Source organism: Homo sapiens, chromosome 7, assembly GCF_000001405.40.
Source record: "Homo sapiens chromosome 7, GRCh38.p14 Primary Assembly".
Classification (NCBI taxonomy): Eukaryota; Metazoa; Chordata; class Mammalia; order Primates; family Hominidae; genus Homo; species Homo sapiens.
This window is the reverse complement of record NC_000007.14, coordinates 155,816,528-155,837,055: the sequence shown is the minus strand read 5'-3', so window position 1 is coordinate 155,837,055 and position 20,528 is coordinate 155,816,528. Positions and strand designations below refer to the sequence as shown.

Here is a 20,528-nt window from a genome sequence, read left to right as displayed (position 1 = left end):
ACCTCTCCAGCCTGCTGTGCTACAGCGTCCCCTCCCTAGACGGAGGAGGAGAGACAGCCCCGGAGACCGCAGCCTCACACCAGTCCTGAGCTACACAGCCAGAGGCCCGTGTCCAGCTACCGAGGGCCAGAGCCTGCTGGTGGCCCCTGGCCGCTGCCGGCCCCTCAGCAGACACCAGCCCCTCCAGACACCAGCCCTGTCGCGCCCTCTACAGCCCGGGCCATGCACCAGTGGGCATCAAGCCTGGCAGGGGGGTTTGCTGGCCAGTCCCCACACACAGGGCCTTCAACCCGCCCTGTGTAGCTGAGAGACGTCTGATCCAAGATGAGCCTCCAACTGGATGACAAAGTGCAAGGACTGTTTTTCAGAGGAGGAAACTCAAACCCACCAGGACGTCGGGTGCCCACCTGAGGTCAGGACCCCGGGCTCGCAGCTCAAGGCCACCCTGCCCAAGTCACTTCCTGCCATCTGGGGATGGAGAGGGGCACGTGTGGGTTCACACAACGGTGAGTTCTGCCCTGACAGATTTCCTCCCTGTCCAAGTTCATCTTGTGCAGCTGCCCTGTGTTTCCGTGTGACTCCGTGGGGCTCAAGGAGGATGGCGTGCTCCACCCCAGGTGACAGTCACCGACAGAGCTGCGCTCACACCTTGTCTCTACCCATTAATGTTTGTGCCAAGCGCTGTGTGTGTTCATGGATAAACAGGCCTCCCTTACCTGACTCAACCACAAAGGGCAAGAAGAATCGGTCTCCACAACAACAGATCAGAGAAGCCCGGGGCCCGGGCAGGAACAGCCAAGGGAAGTTTATTCAGATGCAATCACCCCAAACCCCTGCTGTCCACGAGCAACAAAAGGCAAGGAGGGATTTTTAAAGGAATCCTTGTCTCAACTCAGTTTCCTAAGACAGGGATTTCAGAGCAAGCAGTTGTGGGGCGGTGACCCCAGGAGTTGATGCAGGGTGACTGACAGGCAGGTCCCTGGCGCAGACAGTGGGGCTCTGTCCCGCCAGGAGCTCTGGTGATCAGCACAGGACACAGCTGGGTCAGCCCACCAGGGACTGGGGCTTATCCTCCAGCATCCGTCTGCCCTGGACCAAGGGCTGCTCCCAGAACCTGAGCCCGTGGCCTCCTACCCACAGGTGGTGTCACAGGTGCCTGGGGAGGGTGACCTGGGCGTGGCTGGAACTAGGGATGCTGAGGAGGTGTGGGCAGGTTCTTGCAGTGGGGACATGAGAGATGTGAAGATACACACTCGTCAAATGGCAACGGGTGTGCTGTTTCAAAGCTAGGGAAACTGAGGCCTAGAGACACAAGGAGCACTGGCAAGTTTCCTAGGAGCATAGACCAGGAGCCTGGACTGGAAGTGACTGGGCCCAGGGGACCCTGAGCTCAGGGAGAGAGGGCAGCCGCCCAGCTCGGGCCCCATGCCATCCCCCTTGGGCCTCGCCTGTGTCGTCACCATCTGCAGGCACCAGGGCCTTCCCTGTGGCTCAGAAGTCTGTCCTCAGAGTGTGTTTTTGTCCATCATTTCAGAAGATAAACTAAAGGAGTTATGAGAATTCCAGGAAATTATATATATAGGAGTCATTTCCTACGTATAATCTCTAAACATATCGTTTTGTAAATAATTTTTATTATATACAGAAATTGGAAGAATTATAGGAAGGAGCCAGGTACAGTGGCTCATGCCCATAATCCCATTTCTTTGGGAGGCCAAGGCAGGAGGATCGCTTGAGCCCAGGAGTGCAAGACCAGCCTAGGTAACATAGTGAGACCCCATCTCTGCGAAACATAAAATTAAAAAAAAAAAATTAACCAGGCCTGGCGTGTGCACCTGTGGTCCCAGTACTTTGGGAGGCTAAGGTAGGAGGATCGCTTGAGCCCAGGAGGTTAAGGCTGCGGTGAGCCAAGACTGCACCACTTACTCCAGCCTGGGCAACAGAGCAAGACCCTGACTGCTCCTTCCCACCAAAAAAGAACTATAGGAATGAACTCAGAGACCCTGACTAAGGGCAGGGGCTCAGAGACAGTCACTGTCTTCACAGAGCAACATGATAAAGGGCTGGCTCTGCGGAGGGAAACTCTGAGAACGGCCACCAGCCCCGGGCCTTCCCCTCTCACCACCCAACCCTTGAGGGAGGCCTCACCCCTCACTCTGCCTCCGCTGTTGACCTGGCTCCTGCGAAGCGAATGCAGATTCCAGTCGAGGAATGCACACCTAGACACACACCCAGGAGAGCTGCACACATCACAGCCACAGTAGCACGGCTCACAATGGCCAAAAGTGGAGAAAACACAAACATCCATTGTGGACAAACGGACACACAAAACGCTCCTCCGTGCCCTGTGGTGTCGCTCAGCCACAAAGTGACAAGGAGCCCCATCATACACCACAACACAGGCGAGCCTGGAAGCATCGTGCTGTGTGACTGTTCTAAAGAAGCTGCCACAGGGACCTTGCATTGTGCCATTTCATTCATGCCAAATGTCCAGACGAGGGAAACCTGCAGAGCCAGAGAGTGGATCTGTTGGGAGAGGCCGGGGGAAGGGAGGGTTAGAGCCCAAGGTTACTTTTGGAGGTCATGAATAGCTCCGAAACTGTGGTGATGGCTGCACGTATCTGTGAATATGCTGAAAACCACTGGATTATACAATTCAAACGGGTCAATGTATGGTGAGCGTATTACATCTTGAAAAATCTTTTTTTTTTTTAAGTGACAGCTCATGGACCCAGAAAACCACCAACCAATTCCCGCTATGGGCTTAAGGAGTGGCCTAGCAGTCTATGAATGGGGCTTGGCCCACTGGGCAGCCCCCGTCCTCCCATCCCCCCAGGTCCTTCCAGAGCACTCCATCCCCACTGAGCCACACTGAGCCTCATCTAGCAAATGGCACTTTTTTGAGAACCAAGCTCTCCTTAAAGAACAGAGCAGGAAACTCACAGTGCACTTGCAAACCTCTGGCCTTTAGAATGCCAGCTGCCAGAGACCTCTGTCACCCCAGATGTGTCAGCTGGCCCCCAGCTGCATGCTCCCCACTCGGCCCCAAAGAGGACAGGGTGGAGGCATGGCTGGACTTCCCAGGCAGCAGAACCAAAGACCGTTTGGTTTTTCAGGAGGAAGCGGGTGTCCCCAGGCTTTGGCACCCTCCATCAGAAACGCCACTGCGTGTCCAAAGCCTCAGGCTTTCTTGGGAGCAGCTTTCCGTGATGGGAGGGACAACCCACCAGCTGTCACCACTCAGCGCAGAGGCAGGCAGGTTCCCAGGGCACTGCCTGGGAATTCCGATGGGGGTGGTGCAGACTCGGCCTCAGGTTCCCAGCAGGTGCGGCTGGACAACCAGTCAAAGAGCCCCCAAAGAGCAGCCTCACCGCAGCCGTGCCCACAAAGGATCCCCAGCACGCCGAAATGCCACGAGACATCATTGTGCAACTAGCCAAGATTTCAAATGTCTCCAGAGCTTAAGCCAAGTTCCATTTTGCTGTTAGTTTCTGCTGAGATGCACAGAAGTTTGTAAAAAAGGCTGTTTTCAGGATTCACCAAAGAAATTGTTTGGGGGACTCTAAATGCCTGCAAGATCCAGAATTGGTATTTTTGAAAATTATTCCATAGCCTAAACCCACAGTCTCTGAGAAGCAAGCCATGGCGGGCAGAGGGTGTGAGGCCATCAGAGGCCTGCGCCGCAGCCCCCCCTCCAACTCACTTCCCCACTCTGAGCCACACAGCTTTGGGATCCGTGAAACTCAACCCTGGCTACACATCAGAATCACCTGGAAGATAATTCCTGGGCTCCATCCCAAACAAATTAAGTCATGGCTTCTGGCAGTGAGGCTAGGCAGAGGCATTTTTCTAGAACTTTCCAGATGATTCTAACGTGCAGCTGAAGTTGAAAACCTGATGAGATTGGCTGGGGCCTCGGTTCCTTCCAGCTCCAACATCCTTTGGCGCTTCTCTGTCACTCTGGAAGATTCTCTTCCCCCGGAAACTGAAGCAAATGCAGGGTCAGAGCAGCATTTGACCCAAGGAAGTGCCAAGCCCATCTCAGCAAAGTCACAGAGCAGGACTGACCTGCTGGGCTGAAGACAGCAGCATGGGCTACACCGGGGTAGCGACTGCTCTCACTCCTTGTCAGGACCACCGGGGCTGCTCATCCAACTGCAGGGAGCACCGAGGCAGGAGATCCATGTGGGGAGGTCTCAGGGCCAGGGCCAGGGTGGGGGCTGGAAGGTGAGTAGACGCAGAGAAAATCTCTGGGCCCACAGACCAGCAGATCCCAGCTCTCCAGGGTCACTCAAGACTGGCTGAGCCTTGACCCAGTCCCGTTTCTCCTTGACATCTAGAAGCTTTGCCTCACAGGCACCCTCCCTGCCCCCAGCTCTCCTCCCAGCCCAGCTCCTGGGGAGCTGTCTAAGGCCCAGCTCCTGCGGGGAGGCAAGGGGCAGGGAACTTCTGGCTCCAGCTCACTCCTTCTGCCACCTCGGGGTTGGGAAAGGGGCTGGTCCTCACCTCGTGTTCCTGAAGAGCTCTGAGATGTGAGCTCCCGCCGGTCTTAGGAGGATACTGGAAACTTGGAACTAACCTTCCTCTAAATGTTAAAATGTCTTGTATGTCAACCATTTTGCATGCAAATGTTTCTCAAGAAGGATTACAACATTTCTCTGCATCACTGAAGCCCGCTTTGGACAAAGCTGCCTTCCTCACGTGCCTGTTCCTTGCTTTACACAATCGCAAAGTCTGGCGGGACTGAAGGCAGGAGCGAGCTGAGCACCCTGAATGGTCGGGTGTCCCCAGCCTGCTGGCCAGGAGTCCCTTCGCCCAGCTTGTATCATTTTTCGATCTCTTCCCTTCATGAAGTCAACCTCTAAGAATCCCTCCCCTTTCTGTCATTTTATTTCTGAAACTGCTGGAGGTTTGCAGCCAGATAACCAAGTTAGAAATGTTTCCAGAGCAAGCAGCGTCCAAGTGGGGGTTACTGGTGCGTTCTGAGTACACGAGGCCCCTGCAGAGATGGGGTGTGTGAGGGTAAACAGTTTGTGTGTTTGCAGAAGGCCTGATGGAATTTTCCCACCAGAATTGTAAGGATTGCACCAGCTGATTCCAGCCTCCATAGGAGGAAAGTCCATGCAGAACCAGCGCTGAAATGGCCGGCTCACCGCTTTCGGAACAGTCTGCCCTGGTGTCCTTATCTACTCGTCTCTGTGTGTCACTGGCCAGGGGCTTGAAGGGCTGCCCTGGTTTTACATTTGGAAAAACTGAGGCCCCAAGAGGCAAAGAGGCTCCCAGGCGCACCGTGGGAAGCAGAGCCCCCCGACCCCGCGCTCCTCCCACTGCACTCTCTGTCTCTCTCCTCGCTGAGCACAGGCCTCCTGCACAGCGCCCGAGCCGCGCAGGATATGAAGAAAGGAGAGGCGTGCGCGGTCAGCCCACCCTCTTCCTTGAGCGTCTCTGCCAGGCTCCAGGCTGAGGAGTGGGGACCACCGTCTGATCTCTCCGTGGCTCAAGGGTTTCAGGCTGGTGACCACATCGGTATCTATGGCAACAGCCCCACCACGTTCGCATCCCAGAATCGGACCTCCTGGCCCAGGCCGGGGTCTCCTGACAGCGGAGGACTCAGCCAGAAGATGCAGAAGACCGCTGCTGGGAAACCCGCCGGCCTCTACCCAGCTCCACAGGCTTCTGCCCGGCTCCACCGGCTTCCCTCTCCCTCCCTGAGGCTTGGTGTCCTCCTCTATAAAATGGACAGCCCCGGCTGCCCAGCCTCCCTCACTAAATTGCCAGAACGAAGGAGGTGCTTTGAGAAGTGACAGGCACTGTGCAAACCTCAGGGGCCTCTCCCCTGTCACTCACAGGGCACCCGGTCCGCAGAGCCTCACCTCCTCGGGTGCATCCGGGGTGCTGTTCGGGCAGTGGCTCGGCAGAACCAGCAGCCAAAGTGGCTGAGGGCAGAGTCCCTGACCCCCCGACAACCCGGTCAGAACTCACTCTCCCTTGGTGCCCGGAACGCAGAGGCGCTTCGGAAACAAGATTTCTCATCTGGGTAATTTCGGGATGGCTCCTTCGCCTCGGAACCTGACTTCACTGCCGGGGTCCGCCTCTTACCCCATCCCTGTCTGCCCCCTGCACGCTCAGCCCACTCCTCCCTCCCAAATGTCCCCAGCTCTCTCAGGTCCTCCACCTTGACTGAGAATTCCAGATTTACAGCCTGGGCAACATGGCAAAACCTCACCTCTAAAAAAACACAAAAATTAGCCTGCCACCTAATTAACCAGGCACGTGCCTGTAGTTCCAGCTACCTGGGAGGCTGAGGTGGGAGGATGGCTGGAGCCCAGGTGGTCAGGGGTGCCATGAGTCAAGATCATACCCTGCCCTCCAGTCTGGATGACAGACTAAGACCCTATCTATCTCAAAAAAAAAAAAAAAAAAAGACAGAGAGAGAGAGAGAGAGAGAATTCCAGATTTTGGTCCCGCTCATGTAATTCCCAATTTCACTTGGCAAACGTGGCCTCTCCCTGACTATCCTCCAACTTAGCATCAGTGAGGCCCAGAAATGGCAGCACAGGGCAGCCAGCAGGGTGTGGTGATGGAGCTGTTGCTGTAAGGCACGTGGATACATTGATGCCAGAGGTCACGTCCCCCTTGCCCACCCCTCCCAAGGAGGACGTGCAGGGCTGGACTGGGTGAGAGCCTCACTGATCCAGGGCCTTGGACTCCTCCCCTGGCACGCACAGTGGGTGGTGTTTTACCCATCCTCCTACGAGTCACTCCTTTCCAAGTGCCACATCCCCAGAGGACGTGCCAGGTGCGGCTGCTGACTGCGCTGGGGCCCCATTAAGGCATCTGTCTGCCTGACTGCACAGCTTAGGTCATCATTGGACGGGGTAGGACCCCGTGGACCCGGCTTCCCTTGCATCTCTCAGCTCTTCTGGGAAGGAGGCCACCTCCAGCACTAGCCCAGGAGACGAGTCAGTTACTGGCGTCAGAAGGGGAGGCCCACCAGAGAGAAAGAGAGAGTGGGCCCCTTCTCACTGGAAGGAGGGGACGGCCTTTGGGCAGCCCTGGGGTGTGCACCTGCTGGCACCTGGCCTGGCATGTGCTCCAGGTGCGGGAGTGACTTGGGGTGCAAGGCAAGGCTCTGTGCTGAAGGCTTCATGTGGGCACTCTGTGTTCCAGCTTTATGGAGGAAAGACTGAAATATAAAAATCATAGGTATTTAGTGCGTGCAACATGGTCTTTTGTATAAGTACACACTGCGAAATGGCCATGACAATCAAGCTGACTAACACATCCAATAGCTCACACGCTTTCCATTTTCCTGTCTTAAGAACACTTGAGATCTACCGTCTTTGCAAATTTCAGATATACTTTATTACCGACTATAGTCACCCTGCTCCCCGTTGACCCTCCAATGATAACTGAAACTTTGTACCTTCTGAGTAACAGCGCCCCATTCCCCCAGCCCCCAGCCCCCAGTAACCACCATTCTACAGGCCCCAGCCCCCAGTAACCACCATTCTACTCTCTGATACTATGAGTTCCATGTTTTCTTAGATTTCACATAGAGGTGAAATCATGTATATTTGACTTTCTGTGTCTGACTTATTTATTTCACTTAGTATAATGTTCACCAGTTCCATCCACGTTGCTGCAAATGAGAGGATTTCACTGCTTTTTATGGCTGAATAGTACTCCATTGTGCACATACACTGCATTTTCTTTATCCATTCATCCACCAGTGGACACTTAGGGTGATTCCAAACCTTGGCTATTGTGGACAGTGTTGCAGTGGACATGGGTGTGGACAGCTCTTGAGGGCATTGATGGCATTTCCTTTGGGTACATGCCCAGGAGTGGAATGACTGGTGATATGATTTCGATTTGTGTCCCTGCCCCAATCTCACGTCTACTTGTAATTACTAATGTTGGAAGAGGGGCCTGGTGGGAGCTGATTGGATCATGGGGGTGGAGCTCCCCTTTTCTGTTCTCATGATAGTGAATGAGTGCTCACAGGGTCTCGTTGTTTAAACGTGCATAGCACCTCCCCCTTTGCTCTCTTCCTCCTTCTCCAGCCATGGAAGAAGTGCCTCCTTCCCCTTTGCCTTCCGCCATGATTGTAAGTTTCCTGAGGCCTCTCCAGCTAGGCTTCCTGTACAGCCTGTGGAACCATGAGCCAATTAAACCTCTTTTCTGTACACATTCCCCAGTCTCAGATAGTGGTTTGTTTGTTTTTTGGGTTTTTTTTTTTTTTTTTTTGAGACAGAGTCTCGCTCTGTGGCCAGGCTGGAGTGCAGTGGCGCAATCTCGGCTCACTGCAACCTTCCAATTCCCTGGTTCAAGCGATTCTGTTGCCTCAGCCTCCCGAGTAGCTGGGATTACAGGCACACACCACCACGCCCAGCTAATTTTTGCATTTTTTTAGTAGAGATGGGGTTTCACCATGTTGGCCAGGATGGTCTCGATCTCCTGACCTTGTGATCCACCCGCCTCAGCCTCCCAAAGTGCTGGGATTACAGGTGTGAGCCACTGTGCCTGGCTCAGGTAGTTCTTTATAGCAATGTGAGAACAGATTAGTACCACTGGATCATATGGTAGATCAAATTTTGGATTTTCAAGAAACCCTATACTGTTCTCCACAGTGGTTATGCAGTCTTGATAAGTCAAAATAACCACAATGTTGAATAAATGAAGCAAAGCGTGGCAGCCTGTCCACATTGTCACCTCCTTCTTCTGGTTACAAAGTCTCTCTGTGGACTTTGTGCCCACCTGGCAGGGCTTTCCACTGGAAGTCTCCTCCTGGAGAAGCACTCTGCCCCAGCCAGAAGAGCGAGAACCCCAAACTGTGCACACAGTAACCGGCCCAGAGGAAGCACGTGAACCAAGAAGGCCAAATCCAAGCCTCTTAGGGAAATTACTAGGGATGCCAAAGACCCCAGAGCCAGGTGCTGCCAAGAGCCGTCTCTGCCACTAAATAGAGAGCTGCTTGAAAATGAAATCAACAGAGACCCAGGTGCAACAATATGGCAGACTGAGCTAAGCCGGGACCACATCTCTCCTGCACAAACAAGAGATGATGGGTAACATGTCAATTAATACGTACCTGGAAAGGAAATAAAGAGATATCCTCTGGTGACTACAAAAAAAAAAAAAAAAACTTAAGCCAGATCCTTAAGCTTGTGAACTGTCATTGCAACAACCCAAGGGGTTGACTTGGCCTCTGCTCATTTGAGGCAGGGACCTCACTCTCACCCTGAACATGGAAGGGCTTCTATCACAGGGAAGGGACTGACAAGGGGATGGGAAAATGCTAACCTTTCACTCCAAAAAGCAAAAAAGAAACATGGCTCTGCCCAGGACTCTGTGTCAGAAACAAACAGAAGCCAAAACAGAAAGTCCTCTGCCAGGAGGAACTGGAGATCCCAACAGTGCCACAGATGGGTGTGGTCTCCAGGTTTGTGCCCACTGCACGGTGCACGGCACCCCAGCCAAGAAATGCACACGACCCCTGAGGCACAGAAGCAAGTGTGAAAACTCCGTGCTTTCCTCTCCAGGGACTCAGAGCCCCTTTGGTGTGGTTCATGACAGGACTCGCTGCCTTGAGTTACTTAAACCACAGGACTGGGTGTTACATTTCGACCAAAAGACAGTCTGGGAATGGTCTTAGACAATAGGAGCTGACTAAATGCTTGTGAAATAAACGGAAGTAGGAATAAATGATGGTACATGAACCAGAGAACACGCTTCTTCCGGATGTCTCCGGCCTCTGGAAAATACCGGGGTGCACGGTCCCTTGAATTTTAGGGCTGGTTCATGGGCGGGACTTTGAACCCACCAGAGAAGCCCAAGTGGACGGAGACCTCACACTGTGATTGAGGGTCAGGGTCTGTTTTCTAGTTCTGCCCACGCAACCTCCTCAACCCTTGACATGAGCGAGGCACCTGCATTAGAGAAGCTTCGGTTTCCTCGTCCAGAACATTAGAGGGTTGGATCCGATTCCTGGCTTGCATTTTACTTCTAAGTTTTGATGACGGCCTCCTGAGATGATACCATACACACTTTTCCTTTTCCTTTTCCTTTTCTGGTTGTTTTTGGGGGGTTTTTTTGTTTGGTTGGGTTTTTTTTTTTTTTTTTTTTTGATGAGTCAGAAACTCAAAGATTTCCTGGGATGTCTGCGGACTCTGCCCTGCTCAGAGACAAGGAGCATTTTCTAGACCACATTCTGTTCCCTGTTTCATGGTCGGCTTCTGAGCACTTTGTTTTTGTTTTGATTTTCCTCTTTGCTCTCTGAATGATGATTTATCTGGTTTTTGGAATAGAGGCTGAAAGGCCTAATTGTGTGTGTGGCTTCTGAGGTTGTTTCAATTTATAAATATTTTAATAGGACTTTTATTCCTTCATAACAAATATCTTAAAAACCTTTGTACTCAGAGCAAATGCCTTGGTTTTTCCTATTTAAAAAAAAAAAAAGAAGAAGAAATTTTTTTCTTTCCCTACCTTAAAAGAGAGAAAAAAGGAAAAAGTCAGGAAAACTGCCACAATGTGAGGCATCCCTAAGGAGCCTGTGGTAGTCATACCTGATTTAAAGCAGCTCTCCAAAGCCCTGATGGCATTAATTTTCCATTATTCCTTACAGAGATTCCAAACCTAAGACAACAGTCAAGAACAGATATCCCTCATTTTAATTAAACTTCTTAAGGACTGTATTATTGAGTACATAAGACATACAAGATATTTCGACCTCCAATTTGAGAAATCGTAAAACCAAATGAGACCACAGAAAACTCCGTAGTTCAGGAATACAGCAGCCCAGACCTATCCGGATAACACACTGAGATGAGAGAAGGACAGAGCAGCCCAGTTCTTTTTTTTTGTTTTTGTTTTTGTGTTTTTTGAGACGAAGTCTTGCTCTGTCGCCAGACTGGAGTGCAGTGGAGCAATCTCAGCTCACTGCAACCTCCGACTCCCAGGTTCAAGCCATTCTCCTGCCTCAGCGTCTTGAGTAGCTGGGACTACAGATGTGTGCTACCACACCCAGCTAATTTTTGTATTTTTAGTGGAGACGGGGTTTCACCATGTTGGCCAAGATGGTCTCGATCTCTTGACCTTGTGATCTTCCCGCCTCGACCTCCCAAAGTGCTGGGATTTCAGGTATGAGCCAGCGCACCCGGCTCCAGAGCAGCCCAGTTCTAAGAGAGAGTGGAAGCCAAGTGAAGGCAGGGAAGGAAAGGGAGGGACCACGTCCTTGCAAAGACTGCCCCTCGCGTCCACGCCTATTTGTGCTGGCTTTTTCCCTTCCAGTGTGCTGCTTAGCCATGTAGATACGGGTTTAGGTTTGAAAACTCTGCATAAGATTCTTGGTTCACCTCTGACCTAATGCCTTTTCTTCTCAATCAATCTTTCCTCTTGTGCTGAGTGCAAGACCTTACAGAATATTCCCCCAAAAATCACTTCAATCATCCCAGGGTGTGTCTACCTGCCACCAAACGTGTCTCTGGAAACTCAGAAAGACGACTCATTTCAGGGACTCAGATGTCTGACATTCTGAAGACACAGACTCCCAGCACACTTCCTTCCTGTACCAGGGGGATTGAGAATAAAGTGTGGAAACATGCACTGTGTATTAACCTAATGGTTAAGCCCAGGAAAAAATACTGTCTGGGCTTGGATATCGTCACAGTGAAATGTATTCTTGCCCTTAGAGCTGCTCAGATGATGTGATGATGCTGGAAGCCAAGAGATGACAGCAGGATTGAACTATTGCCCAAAAGCAATTACTGATTAGAATTGATTATTTCTACAAAGAAAGGTGACTGATGGATTAGTTGTCACGTCACAGCAGGTTTGGGAAAAACTGTCATAACTGAAAGGGACTAAGCTACCAAAAGACCATAATGCTTCAAGGATTCCTCTGGATGCAGCTCTGCAAACCTGAAGTTAAGAGAACGTTGATGCAACCCCTGGATTTTCCAGGGCTGTCCTTGAAAGATCCCATCCTTGTTCTTCCCCTTCCACCAAATGAAATGATCCCATCATTGTCATAACACCTTGCGGCGTGAGGAAGTCGTGTTTAAAAGCACACGCTTCTGCCATGCCTCTGAGCTTTACAGGGGATTATAAAAATGCAGACCTCATTTAAGCCCACAGTAAATTAATGGGAAATGATATGTGACTAAATATTTGAAAGCTGTTGCCGTGCCTTATTTGATTTGCCTAATTACGTGTTTTACTGCCTCCTTTATGGAACTGTTGCCTAAGGTATCTGAAGTCTTTATACTTACTTCTTCCTTAATAGCTGAATCAAAATGCCACGTGATCACGTTGGCATGCAGCCTTGAAATTGCGTCCAAGCCCATTGACGTGTGTTTCCGGGAGGGAGATGACTCTCCTAGCCCTTGGTGGTAGAATGTTGGGAACCGTAGATCGGCCTTCTTAACCAATCTGATACAAAGGCTCTCCCAGCCACTCCGTCACCTCCTAACCCCATGGCTTCTCCACCAAGCAAAACAAAACAAAATAAAACAAAACTAGGGTATAAATATGTCAGGATAAGAAAGAAAACATGTACACAACATTCAAACACCGTCTGCCACTGGAAGAGACTCCAGGACAATTGTGCACATACTTGGCCTGCTACCATGGCCCGGCGAATTCAGCGGTTACCATGGCGGGGTAGAGCCTGGAGGAGGACTCCAGAGGGCAGGCTTTGTGTGGGCACTGCTCAAACAGAGAGCTGCGATTCAGTCTGTTGGCTTGTGTACTTTGGTGTGAGCCATCCTCACGCTGAAAAGGCCAAGAGGAGAAGTGTTGAGTTTGACTTGATCTCATGCCTTTAGGTTTCTCTTGACATCCCGCCCGCTGCCCCCCACCCCAGCCCGACCTCCTTCAGGCCCCTCTAACTCCCCATCTGGGGAAACAAATGACATTGAGCACTGTCCAGGGAAGATGACACTTAGGGGTCTCCCCTCTCTGTGGATAAACTGCTCTAAAAACAGCCCAGACCCCACCAACAACAAGTCCGTGCAGAAACCACAGGAACCGTCTTCACTAGGACAAAGAAACATGTTGAGAGGGCACTTCGAGGCCCGGGCCCTGAGACACCACTGGCAGCTCGAGCATTAGGCTTAGGAGAGTTGAGTTCTAGGTAACCCCACAGCAGCACACTCAGCTCCTGAGTTGAAAGACAGAGAAATGGAAAGAACAGTGGAGCACGGGCGAGAGACATGGCTCAGTGACTGTAGGCAAAGTCATTTAGTCTCTCTTCAGACCTAAATTTCCTCATCTGTCAAATTGAGTTAATAATACGTGGTCTGTCTCTCCCCCACAGCATCATGGCGAGGACTAGGCGCCCCCTGAAAACACATCATTATTAGTGGCGCCTCACCCTCAGGCTGCCTTGCACTGCTGCAGAGAATCCTCACGTGTAAAGAGCCAGAAAGCCGTGGAGAGTTTCCACCCTAAATAAAAGAATTCATGAGGTTATTTTTAAGAGTGTAGACGCTCCGTGAGTGACATGCACACACTAATGGGACAGGTCCCATCAGGATTCCCACGTGACGCCTTCACGGTCGCTCATCCCATTCGCTGCTCGGGAGGGGCAGGGGGAATACAGCCCCAGCAGAAAGAAACATTATTTAAATTAACTCAGTCCGATTGAATGTCCTCTTTTGTCAAACGAAAGAAGTGATCTCTGCTATGTGGCCTGATCTGTTTGAAAACAGTTGAATATTTTACGTTGAATTGCCTTTGGCCTTAAGTGTATTTGTGCCAACTTAAGTGGCACAAAAGTCCCAGAAAGAGAATTTGTAAGCAATGTCAGTTGGTCTAGGTGTGAAGCCACTTGCAGAGCACACCCTCGGCTCCAGGCTCTAGCTGTGCATCACACACTCACTGCCAAACCTCAGGGGATCCTATGACACCCACGAAGTAAACATTTGTCCCCATTTTGCTGATAGGGAACTATGTTCAGAGAGGTGAAGAGATTTGTCCAAAGTCATGCAGATAGTGGACTTCAACGAGGGTTCCGAGACAGTTCAAACCCACTGGCTCCAGAGAAATGACACTGATTCCAGCCCCAGTGCACGGTCACGTCCTGAAGCCCTGTGGTTCCTCCAAGCAGTGCTGTGGGCCCTTTGGCCAAAGGTGCAACACCTTGAAATAGGAGGAAAACAACGACCTTCCCTCCAGGCCCTCTCTGATCAACGCTATCATCAGAACAACAGAAAACCAAGTTTGCAGCTTCTGCTTGGGAAGAAAAGAAGCTACGTGGATTCCGAATTTGATATTTCAGCTGCCATAGTTTTTTGTTGTTATTTGTTGTTGTTGTTGTTTGCTTGTTTTGGTGTGTTGGTTTACTTTTTAAATAGCAACCACTGAAACTCATTCCATAACATGCCACTAGTTTAACTGGCTAATTAGTAAGAAACTTCTGGTAACTGACAAATATTTGTTGAGCATCTTCTGAGCTGGGAGCTGTGTGACCTACAGAGATGTGTAAGACAGATACTCTGAAGGCTTTCTTCTGGAAATTAGCAAATATATTGAGGATACTAATAACTACCCTGAAGTCAAAGGTCAAACAACAACCCCCAAAGTGAAATATGAATATAAGCAATGATCCAGAGGTCACATCAGCCAAACAGCTATGACATGATAAGCCAGAAGCCCCAGGGCCACAGGTCGAGAAGGTGGGAAAGGCACAGAGGAGGGGGAGAGGCTGCCACTGGACCAGGGGGCAGAAGCGAGACAGAGTCACAAGGCATGGTCTGGACTGAGTCATTGGTTCAGAGACATGGGGATCTGCAGGCTTGAAATGGGAGATCCGAGTTCAAGGGACAGAAATGCAGGGAGAGGAACACATCTGAGCTCTCCCCTCTCTGGATTCATGAAGAGTTTATGAATAAAGATCCCGGAACCATGGGCTGCAGTTACACCTCTGCTCCCCGCCCTCCAACAGGGTGTCCCGTGGGAGACCACGTAACCCTCTGAGCCTCCATCTTCCGGTCTGTGAATATAGGGGTGCCCCCACCACCTCGATGACCACACAGGGATGCTGCGGGTCCCGTGAGATCATGGGTGGAAACGAGCTTTGCCAACTTTCAAGTCCTGCCTGATTATAAAGTCTTCCTCCTATACCTCAGACTCAAGAGTCGAGCACCCTCTCAGCCACCCTGGAAGACACAAAAGAGATCAGGCACACAGCCTTCACCCTTCAAACAAACAACAGCAATAACAAAAGATGTACTTCTAAGCTCCTGAAATGGTGAGAGAAGAACTTTGTTGTTTTCAGCCCCCGTCTGTAGCAGGTTGTCACGGCAGACCTAGAGAAAGCACACACGCCGAGCAGTGAGATGCCCAAGGCAGGAGGGACGCTGGTACTAACCTCCCCACACAAGAGGCTAAAGGCTGCAAAGACAGTCAGCCAGACTTCGTGGTGGTCCCTCCCATCTGAAATGATGAAAAAGGGGCTTCCTGACGGCCAGGCATGGTGGCTCATGCCTGTAATCCCTGCACTTTGGGAGGCCAAGGCAGGCAGATCACCTGAGGTCAGGAGTTCAAGACCACCCTGGCTAACACGGTGAAACCCCACCTCTACTATAAATACAAAAATTAGCCAGGCACGACACTGGGCACCTGTAGTCCAGCTACTTGGGAGGCTGAGGCAGGAGAATCGTTTGAACCTGGGAGGCGGAGGCTGCAGTGAGCTGAGATCACACCACTGCACTCCAGCCTGGGCAACAGAGTGAGACTCTGTCTCAATTAAAAAAAAAGAAAGAAAGATAAAGGAAGGAAGGAAGAAAGGAAGGAAAAGAAAAAGGGCCTCCTGGGAGGTAGAGGCAAATGGAAGACCTGAGGCTGGAGTGAGCCCTGGAATCACATCGTCTGCTTAGATTCTTGTATCACAGCCACTGCTTGCACCAATCATCTGTCAGGAAAATAAAATCAAAACGAGCAAAAGCAGCCATCTGCCCAGAGGAGAGAACAGGCATCTCAGCCTCTGTGAGCAGTAGCTAGTGTGCCCACCACCTCTGTTCTCCCATGAGAACACGTGTTCTTCACGTGACACATGAAGGCTTGAGACGCGCTGATCGCGGGCATGGTGCTGTGCACAGAGATTGCTGAGGGATGGGAGCAGAGGACCTGAGGGTGAGGCGGCTACGTGGCACAGCCTCCATCCTTTCTGAAGCTGCAGTGCCCTGTGCAGGCCTCCTACTGTGGGAGGGCCCCAAGCTACAAAACAGGGCCTCTCGCTGAGGACGGCCGGGGAAAGACTGTTCTGCATAAAAGGTCCTTCCCCGCTGGGCCTCGTTCCTTCCCACAGTTGCCTGAAGAACCCAAAGAGCTAGAAGCCCATGACCTTGACCGTGACTAACTCTGAGGCCTGAATTTGTGTCCACCGCCTGGTGACACCACGGCTTGCCTGGAAACGTGGCCCTGCTGGGCTGGAGTGTGGTGCTTGCCGCGTGGAGCCTGCGGTCAGCCCTGGCCCCACACTGACCACTCACGACTGAGTGGTCCTGGGCAAAGTCACCTGAGCGTCCTGTGTGCAGGCGCCAGCTCCGCCCTGACACTGCACACTCCTCCATGGTCAGCTCCTTCTCTGACACGCTCCTGGGACGTCTTCCACAGGCACCCAGTGGAGCCGTGGACCGCAGAGGAGCATCTGTGGAACTAGATGGCCCCTCACGTGTGTGTAGTGCTTCTCCTGACCTGGCATGGCTGGGCCTGTTCCCTCCCAGCGGCCCTGTGAGTGGACGGTAAGGTCTCGGCGGGAGCCTCAGCCTCCTCCTCTGGAAAGTGGGGAAAGGGTGGAGGTCGGCCGCTCTGCAACAAGGGAGCATAGGCACTAAAGGCCCTGCACAAATTGAGCCCCACTCGGCAGTGCAGGGTGCTGCTGTCCAGGGGACGGGGCCTTTAAACTGTGCAAGGAGTCGTGGGGCAGGGCAGGGCAGGAACACCACTCTCAGGCACCCCTGATGCTCCCTCTTCCCAGAACCTCGGGACTACTTCCTGCCTGGCCCAAAATGCATGGCCCTGGGTACTGTGGTGTCTCTCTTCCAGGTCATCTCCTATTTCCATATGTCCAAGTGGGGCTCCCTCCTCTGTATTCCTGGTGGAGGGGGCCCTCTTTCTACCCTCCTCCCTCCCCTTACCCAATGATACACCCAAACAGAAAAGTGCTGAGCGCCACATGGAAGCTTCCGGAAGCATCACTGCCTACAGAGAGAGTCAGAGGGCAAGCTGTCAGCCAGGTCATCTGAATTTGATTTAAGGCCCTGCCACAAATCCGGCGTGTGATCCCAGAGGAGATATTTAACCTCCTTGTGCTTCAGTTTCCCCATCTGTGCAATGGTCCCTCCTTGAAAGGGTTGCTTGTATTAACACATTAAAATTTAATCCAAGAGCAATTCCAAGACATGGCCAACACTGAATCAGTATTACTATTACTATCACCCAAAGTTACGAGTTCCAACTTCCCTTCTCGCTGAGTGCAGCTGCCTGGTGAGATGGTCGATGCATAAAGCGCACCGGTCTGCCTGCCAGAGAAAGCTGGGATCTCTTTGCTGTGTTCCTTGACTGCAAGTCAGTGGTGTGGCTGGGAGAGGAGCCCCGGAGCCGCCCGGGTAGAATCATCACCCCTTTGTCTGAGCACACATCTCACAGCGCTGTGCTGCTGCCAGGCCAGGCCCCTGGAGCCCAGAGCCCTGCACGGTCTGTGGACTCCTCTCCCGTTGGGGTTCTGTGTGCGATCCCAGAGGTGCCCTGCACAGCCCCCCTCTGGAATGCTGCTTCTGTCCTTGTACCGGGAATTCCTCCACAGGAAACACAGGTCCTTCTCTATGCACCCCACAGCCCCAGAGAAAGAAACAAGCCACCAGCCACACAGTCAGGTGTGCCTGTCAAAAATCCCTAAACATGAGAATAACGTCAAAATTACAAGCACAAAACCTGGCAAATTATTCCTGTTCTAGCAGCTTTTTTCAAAGCCCAAATGTGTGTTCGGCCCTCAGTTTCCCTTTCTGTGCCCTTCTCCCACCTCTGGATGAACCCAGCCCCTGCCCCACACATTCTCCCTGCACCTGCGGTGCGCGGACCTCAGCCCCTAAATCTGCCTCTCTGCATCTGCTACCAAAACAGCCCTGGCCACTGATGCCCCCTGGCTCTTAATTTTGCACATTAAGAGGGAATTGGGCTGGATCCCCTCTCAAGAAAGCGAAGAAGGGAAATACTCCTTGGAGAGATGAGGTTGGGGGGGCTTCCATGCCCCTCAAGCCCCTGGGGCAGCGTTGCCCTGTCCCCCCGGGAAGCCGACCCAGCAGGTCCCTGTGGTGATACGTGGGTCCCCCCAGGGAGCACGCCGGCTGGCACTCACTCGAGTGAAGGACAGAGCCAAGGCCCCAGGGCAGGAACGGCTGCTGGAACCAGGCTGACCTCCAGTGTGGGCGGGGCCACGATCCAGTGGATGCCACAGGAAGGGGCAAGGAGGGGGTCACTCTTGGGTTCTGCCTTGTATACACGGCAAGAACTGGGGTGGGATGCGGGTGGATTCTTAGTTTTCTTCACTCTGAAGAGGGACTGTTGCATGAGTTCTCCTGAGGCTAAGACCAGGGGCTCATAGAACCCAGGGCTGAAAGGGCTTCTGGCGTTGGCACTGTTGATTTTGGCATCGTCGACTTCATACTCCCACATTGCAGATAAAGAAACAGACGTCTCGAGGGGCTGCGTGGCTTGCCCGGGAGCTTGTGGGTGGAGCCCTGAGGATCTCCTTAGTCCACACAGACCGCAACCCTCCTTCACCACAGCCCAGTGCACGGGGACATCTCCAGATAATCTCTGACCCTACAAGGATGTTCAAGTCTCTAGAAAATACAACCCTGAAGGGCCTTGGAGACCAGCACTCTGACTGTGGAGATCCCAGGCGACATGGGAGCCCACTGCTCTCAGGCCGAGTCATGACAGTTCCGTGGCCCAAGGGAGCATGGAAGTGGGCAGAGCAGAAGCGGGGAGGGGCACAGGGCACAGGGCACAGGGCACAGGAGCAGCCTCGGTGACTGATTCTCTCAGTGGAACTTGTGGCATCAGCTGCCAGCCCTGCCTGGTGGATCTCAGCTTAACTCTGCTCCTGTAAGGAAACAGCCTTTGTGCAGGAAGTGGGTAAGAACAGGCTCTGTGGCTTCACTCGTGGAAGAAGAGCAGCTATGGAGCCAGCCAGGGAACCCTCCTCCAATGGGAGTGGCTGAGCCAGGGAACCCTCCTCCAATGGGAGTGGCTGAACCAGGGAACCCTCCTCCAGTGGGAGTGGCTGAGCCAGGGAGCCGTCCTCCAATGGGAGTGGCTGAGCCAGGGAACCCTCCTCCAATGGGAGTGGCTGAGCCAGGGAACCCTCCTCCAGTGGGAGTGGCTGAGCCAGGGAGCCGTCCTCCAATGGGAGTGGCTGAGCCAGGGAACCCTCCTTCAATGGGAGTGGCTGAGCCAGGGAACCCTCCTCCAGTGGGAGTGGCTGAGCCAGGGAGCCGTCCTCCAATGGGAGTGGCTGAGCCAGGGAACCCTCCTTCAATGGGAGTGGGCTGAGCCAGCTTTGGGCAGTTCTGGGAAAAACTGCTCGCGGCAGTACTACCCCAGCACGCCCCAACACACAGCTTCATCCTCAATCCTCCGAGGCACCCCAGCCTCCAGGCACTGCATGTGTCCCAGTCACATTCACCCCTCACCGTACCCCCTCCACACGCTCTCCAGAAAGAATCTAAAGCTCACACATGCACACCCGCTGCTGTCTGAAGTTCTGCGTGCAGCTCCATGCCAGGCCCAGCCGGGCAGACGGGACCCAAGGCACACAGGCATCAAGCAGGACTGGGGAGCGTCCAGGGGCTGGGGGGCCAAGCAGACGGAGCATCCGGAGGCTGGGGAGTGTCCGCGGGCTGGGGGAGCAGCAGGGGGCTTGGAGCTGGCAGTTGCACCCACATCTCCCCCTCCCACGTTCGCTCCTGGGTTTTGGGATCCCCATCAGGGAAGTCAGCAAAGGAGAAATTCTGATTTGAGTGCTCGGGAGTGAGGCCTCAGCGCGGCCTGTCGGCTTTTTCTCAGCCCCCAGGTGAGGCCCATGTGCGCAAGGGTTTAATGCATTAACTGTCTGGGGCACCTGCCTCTTAACTAGGCTCCAAGATGGAAGCAATGATGGTCTTGTGGAAGGATCTCTAGGTAGCTGGGGTGCAAGGAGCAGCATGCAGACGCAGGGTCCCTTCCTCCCTGGGCACGAGGCCACCTGCCCACACTGTGCCTCCCTTTCCAACTCCCAAATGTAGCTTCAGGCTCCCCTGACAACGGTGCTAGAGCACTTTGAAACTGTACAGAGGCACACACCTGAGGCATTATTTAGACCTAAGAAGAGGTGTCCATTACTTAAAATGAAGACGAAGTGACTCAACAAAGGCAGGCAATGGTCTAAAGAGAGAAAATCAGCTCAAAGGCACACAGCAACATAGTTCAGGCTGCACGTTCACATCCGAGCTGATCGCCTGCCTTAGGATGTCTACTTC

At 52.7% G+C, this 20,528-nt stretch overlaps 1 annotated feature.

Moving 5' to 3' along the window:
• Positions 684-1,676: an enhancer, noted in NCBI's record as "H3K27ac-H3K4me1 hESC enhancer chr7:155628074-155629066 (GRCh37/hg19 assembly coordinates)". NCBI's record gives its function as "activates a minimal SCP1, AML or CMV promoter by ChIP-STARR-seq in naive H9 embryonic stem cells {active_cell/tissue: H9 hESC(naive)}" and the evidence as "EXISTENCE:reporter gene assay evidence [ECO:0000049][PMID:30033119]".